The sequence below is a fragment of the Homo sapiens genome, chromosome 20, assembly GCF_000001405.40.
Source record: "Homo sapiens chromosome 20, GRCh38.p14 Primary Assembly".
Lineage (NCBI taxonomy): Eukaryota > Metazoa > Chordata > Mammalia > Primates > Hominidae > Homo > Homo sapiens.
In genome coordinates, this window is record NC_000020.11 from 56,895,851 (window position 1) to 56,902,365 (window position 6,515).

General features: G+C 46.4%; 1 annotated feature.

The window, feature by feature from the left end:
- Positions 1,407–1,938: an enhancer, noted in NCBI's record as "NANOG-H3K27ac-H3K4me1 hESC enhancer chr20:55472313-55472844 (GRCh37/hg19 assembly coordinates)". NCBI's record gives its function as "activates a minimal SCP1, AML or CMV promoter by ChIP-STARR-seq in naive and primed H9 embryonic stem cells {active_cell/tissue: H9 hESC(naive and primed)}" and the evidence as "EXISTENCE:reporter gene assay evidence [ECO:0000049][PMID:30033119]".

The window sequence follows — 6,515 nt, forward strand, 5'->3', positions numbered from 1 at the left end:
TCTTCCCTCTGCCTGCACATCCCAGGCAGACACATCCTCTCCTCTTCTCCTCTGCAGGTCTCCTTCAAATTGCTACCAAAACACCAGGGGTTTCCCCCAACTCCCAGCATCCCTTAGCCCCCTCCCCTGCCTTATTTTTATCTTACCACTATCAGACATACCCTATGTTTGATTTTTTTATTTTTAAAATTTTCTTAGAGTCTTGCTCTGTCACCCATGGTGGAGTGCAGTGTTGTGATCATAGCTCACTGCAACTCAAACTCCTGGGCTCCAGCCATCCTCCCGCCGCAGCATCCCTAGTAGCTGGGACTGCAGGCATGCACCACCACACCCAGCTAATTCTTCTTGAACTTCTTTTTTAGAAACAGGGTCCCATTATACTGTCCAGGCCGGTCTCAAACTCCTGGCCTCAAGTGATCCTCGCACCTTGGCCTCCCAAAGTGCTGGGATTACAAGTGTGAGCTAAAATCCCAGTAGTGTACAGTGCCCAGCCTAGTTTTTGTTTTTTTTTTGGTAATCCTTGTTTGTTGTTGTTGTTGTTGTTGTTTTAAATTCCTAACTCCCCAAATTTGTTACTGTTTTATTTTTAAATGTTGTTTAACTGTAAACTCCATGAGGACAAGTTTTCTTGCCTTTTTTCTTCCCTGATGTGCGCTCGGCTCCTAGAAATGGGCTTGGCACTTGGTAGGAGCTTAATCAATCTTTGCCAGATGAAGGAATGAATGAATGAATGGATGGATGGATGAATGAATGAATGAATGGATGAATGAATGAATGAATGGATGAATGAATGAATGAATGAATGGAGTGAGTAGCGCCTGTGCGCAACAGCTTATGGATCATGTCAGTCGGGATTCCTGGATGCGGTACTTCAATCAACGCTTTACAAAAATGCTGCAGGGGAGAGTGTCACTCTCTTATTAGAACAGAGAATAAAGGGATTTGTGTTCTTATGGAATGATTAATTATTCTGGTTTATTTTTTCTTTACCCCACCTTGGGAACAAGCACCCCATTACCACAAGGTGAGAAATCTGTATATTAACCATGTTTCACTCTGAGCTCAGAGTCCCCTTCTTCAACCATGGTCTCATCTGTAAAACTTGTGTGTTTGGGAAGGAATGAGAACCCCACCGGAGAATGTTCCCCAAATCAGAGTAGCGACATGTGTCTTAGCCAAGGAGTTCTTCCAGGTTCTTATCCGTGGGGTGTACACTGTGGCCTGCTCATGCTCAGTATTTTCATACCCTAGATGTAAGTTGTAAGTTTTCGTGTTTTATTATTTCACATTTAATTTTTTTCTCCAAAACAAGGCTCTGCCAGATGTAACCTGGCTGCTTATATAATACCATTCCAATTTGTTAAATATCAATGATAATAGATATTCTTGCAGTATCTAAGAACAGCAAAGACAGCTTGTGGAGAGTATTATAAGCGGTGCCATGAAAGGTACGGGATAAATGAGAAGTGTGCCTGGGTGGCTATTCATGAGTACCTGCAGAGGGGTGCTGTGCATGGGGCAGTTACATCAGAGCCCACCTCTGCCCCAAACTGGTAGTCTTTGGGAAGCTGGTGTCGGCCTCTGGGTAAGTCTTAGTTTCACCACCTGGAAAATGGGGACTACATTAGCACTTTCTTCAAAGGGCCATTGTCTGCATGGAATGAAATCCCAGATGGACGGCGGCTCTCCCAGGGCTCTGAGCACTTGTTCAGTCATCAGCCGCCAGCTCCTGCTGTTATTCCTATTAGTTTAGCCTCTGGGAAGATGTGAGCTGCAGAGACTGTAATGCCCAAGCACGGACATTGCTGTTGCCTCAGAGATGTCACTCTGGCTTGGCTCTTGTCCCCAACGGGCTCTGAGGAGGACTTGCTGCTGGGCAGGGCCCCAAGTGTGTGCTGGGCTTTCCCAGGTCAGCCTCCCTCCAGCAGGCAGCTGGCATAGGTGGCCCAGGGAGAAGGTGTTCCTCCCTCAAGCCCTTCAGGAAGGCCGGGCTGTCCAGCAGATGGGGTAGAGACAGGCTGGGAGCACAGGGGGCTTCCCAAGGTCCCCCCTGGGCCATTTCTGAGTTAAGTCAGGCCCCCACAGGGAATCCCAGCCTCTCCTGCAGGTTTCACAGGAGAGTCCAGAAATGTCCAGGACTCTCCCTGCCTCGAGGCTCTTTCTGGTGATGGTGGAGGGGATTTAGTTATTTTAATAATATCTGGAGTTTATTCTGAATGATCAGTTATGCATAACCATTACGTAGCATTATTTATGAAATTGGGAGGCATGCCTCATGGTTACGGAAACTCTAATGAGGGGGGCCCTGATTTATGCCATAAACAGGACATTATCCAGTATTCTCTTGACCTCACCTCTCTGGCCACACCACACCCCCAAGGTTGATTTACATTTGAAAGATGCCCTGTGCCTCTTGAGACATTTCTCTCTCTCTCTTTTTTTTTTTTTTTTTCTTTTGGTGCAATGGCTTGATCTCAGATCACTGCAACCTTCACCTCCGGAATTCAAGTGATCCTCCTGCCTCAGCCTCCCAAGTAGCTGGGATTCCCAGCTAATTTCTGTATTTTTAGTAGAGACGGGATTTCACCATGTTGGTCATGCTGGTCTCAAACTCCTGACTTCGTGATCTTCCCACCTCAGCCTCCCAAAGTGCTGAGATTACAGACCATCACGCCCCGTCCTGCTGGTCATTTTCAGTGCCTGCAAAGAGAAGCGATTTTTTTTTCCCTTAGACGTGAACACAGAATTGTTTCCTCCTGGTAGCTGTGATTCCTTGGTTATTCTTTTTACAGTTGGAAAAAAAAAAACCATCCTCTATGAAGCCTGGTGTCACCTTTTCAGGAAAGCCTGAGGACGAATGGGCAGGTACCCAAAACATTTTTCCCTATTGTGATCACAATTAGATAGTCATAATACTGATCGTTATTATTTTGTGGAATGTTTACTCTGCAGGCACTGGGCTAAGCTCTTTGTATACTTTCTATTATTTAGTCCATGTAACAATTCTGAGAAAGGAAGGCTTAGAGGGGCAAAAGGCTTATTTATAGTCTTCTGATCAGGAAGTTGTCCCATTCCACAGAGAGCACAGAACTGTCTACTCTTTCTTCTCCCTCCCATGAGTGGCCACCGGGAGGGGAAAATGTGCTGTGGGTGCCTCAAGGAAAAGAGAAGGTACTTGAATGTCAACTTCTCCTGGGTGACTTATTGACCACGGACAGATATTTGTTGAATGATGGAAAAGGAAAATGGAGCCACCATCTTCCCTTGGGACATTCCCTTGTGACACAGTGTAGACCAAAGCATTGGTGGGAAGGCAAGAAGGAAGAAGATATGCAGAGGGAAGCAGAGGCAAGACCAGATCCTCCTGATTTCTGGTTTGATGGCACCATCAAGGCAGGGCAGCATCTCTGCCCTTACCAATGCAGAAATCAGCTAACAGCAACAACAGCAATAATTGGCATTTATTGAGGATTCATTCTGTTCCTGACTGCCCATTAGTTATACAGCAAAATTGCAGTCTTTTAGTTTTAAATAAGACAATAGCTCAGAAGTAAATGGTAACTGTATTAGTCTGTTCTCACACTGCTATAAAGATAGTACCAGAGACTGGGTAATTTATACAGGAAAGAGGTTTAATTGACTCACAGTTCCACATGGCTGGGGAGGTCTCAGGAAACTTACAATCATGGAGGAAGGAGAAGAGGAAGCAAGGCACATCTTCCCATGGCAGCAGGAGAGAGAGAGAGAGCAGGGAAAACTGCCACTTATAAAAATATCAGATTTCGTGAGAAGTCACGCCCTATCACGAGAACAGCATGAGGAAACTGCCCCCATGATCCAGTCACCTCCCATCATGTCCCGCCCTAGTGGGGATTACAATTCGAGATGAGATCTGGGTGGGGACACAGAGCCAAACCATATCAGTGAGTAAATGTAAGTAGGTGCAGGAGAAGAAACACTGCCTTACCCTCCACTGGAAGAGGCTGTCAGATGTTAGGACATTGGAGTGAGTGAACTGTTAAGAGCTTTATGGGCTGGAGTAAGCAGCCTCCAGTTCAAATCCTGGTTCCTCTACTCACTAGTTATGAGGCCCTGGGTAAATCACACCACCATTTATCCATTGAACCATTCATTCGTTCATTCGTTCTATCTCTTCAACAAACGTTAGTTGAATACCTACTATACCCTAGGTAGGCATTTGAGAACTGAAGCCAACAGAACTCCCTGCATCTGTGTTAGACAACACAGAAGACCAAGCAAAACTAACAGACTTGTTCGCTGCAGGAGATATGTGCTTCTGGGAGATAAGACTGTCAACTAGCTAAATTGCTTCCTCACCAAGACCTGCTGCAAGACCCTCATGTAGGTGTGCCCGCCATTTCAATTCCAAACCATTTTTCCTCAGGCGAGACCTGCCTTAACGCCACCGGGCTCAGTCCCTAAAACTATGATCAATAGGTTTTCTTGAGGATCTTGGGTGCAGAAGTCTTCAACACGCTTTTCCAGCTACTCAGAATACAAAGGTGAACGGAACAGACCAATCGCTGTCCTTACAGAACATTCTAGTGCAGGCAGGGAAACTAAACAAATGAATCAGCACATTTGCACAATATTTCAGATGGTGGAAGAGCCAGGGGGAAAAGCAGAACAGGTTAAGGAGCTAGGGAGAGGGAGACAGATACTGTTTTTGTTTGTTTGTTTGTTTTTGTTTTGTTTTTTGAGATGGAGTCTCGCTCTGTCCCCCAGGCTGAAGTGCAGTGGTGCAATCTCGGCTCATTGCAACCTCTACCTCCGGGGTTCAAGTGATTCTCCTGCCTCAGCCTCCCGAGTAGCTGGGATTATAGGCGCCCACACCATGCCCGGCTAATTTTTGTATTTTTAGTAGAGATGGGGTTTCACCACATTGGCCAGCCTGGTCTTGAACTCCTGACCTCAGGTGATCTGCCCACCTTGGCCTCCCAAGGTGCTGGGGTTACAGGTGTGAACCACCACGCCTGGCCGAGATACTATTTTATAGAGGGTCACCAGAGAAGGCTTATCTGATAAGAGAACATTTGGGAAGACATCTGATGGAAAGGAAAGAGTTAGCCAAGGAGTTAACTGGAGGAGAAATACTCCAGGCTGAGCCGACAGCATGTGCAAAGGGCCTAGGGTGGGCTTGTGCTCAGCATACAGAGAGACAGAGCAAAGAGGTCTGTGTGACTGAGGGAGATTAAGCAAGAAGGAGAGAAAGAGAAAAATAGGGCAGGGAGGTGTGTGGGCATAGCGGGCCAGGTTGACAAGAGTCTTGCATGGCATGTGGCTTTACTCTGAATAAGAAGGGAGCCCTCGGAGGGCTTGGAGCAGAGGGAGAATTGTTCTGATTAACTTTTTAAAAGAATCCCTCTGGATCTCAGTCTCCTGACCTAGGGGCTGGCAAACATCCTGGAAAAGGCCTGTGAGTGGCAGGTCAATAACCCTCCAGTGTCTATGTCCTGCTCCCTGGAACCTGTACATACATTTTGTTATGTGACCAAAGAGACTGCAGATGTGATTAAATTAAGAATCTTGAGATGAGGAGATTAACTCGGATTATCCAGGTGGGCCCGATGTCATCTCAAGGATCCTTTTAAAAGAAAGAGGGAGGCAGGAGGAGCAGTGTTAGAGTGGTGCAATGTGAGAAAGACTCTATCAACCACTGCTGGCTTCAAAGATGAAGGAAGAGGCCACAAGCCAAGGACTGCAGGCAATGTCTAGAAGCTGGGAAAGGCAAATACGTGGATTCTTCCTCAGGGCCTCCAGAAAGGAGCACAGCCCTGCTCACACTGGGAATTTAACCTGGGAAGACCCACGTCCATCCTCCGTCCTCTAGGACTGTACGATAATAGGTTTGTTGCTTTAAGCCACCAAGTGTGTGGTGATTTGTTACAGCAGCAACAGGAAAGTACTAGAGTCAGATAGTAAATATTTTCAGCTTTGTGAGTCACGCAGTGTTTTCCACAACTTGCAACTCTGCCATTGTGGGAAATGGATGAGTGTGGCTGGATTTGGCCCACAGGCCGTATTTGTTGACCCTTGTCCTAACATGTTAAATAAGAACTAGAAATAGTAGTAACTGCAGAATGCTGTTTGTGAGCATTAAATGAAATAATGCATACAGGGGCCAAGCGCGCTGATTCACGCCTGCAATCCCAGCACTTTGGGAGGCCAAGGCGGACAGATCACTTGAGACCAGGAGTTCGAGACCAGCCTGGCCAACATGGTGAAACCTCAACTCTACTAAAAATACAAAAATTAGCCAGGCATGGTGGCAGTGGTCTGTAATCCAAGCTACTGGGGAGACTAAGGCACAAGAATTGATTGAACCTGGGAGGCGGAGGTTGCAGTGAACCGAGATCATGCCACTGCACTCCGGCCCAGGTGACAGAGGAAGAGTTTGTCTCAAAAAAAAAGAAAAAAAAAAAGAAAGAAAAAAAAGAAAGAATGTATAAGGAGCTGTTCGAGCCTGAGAAATAGCACGCACCTGATCAATGTGC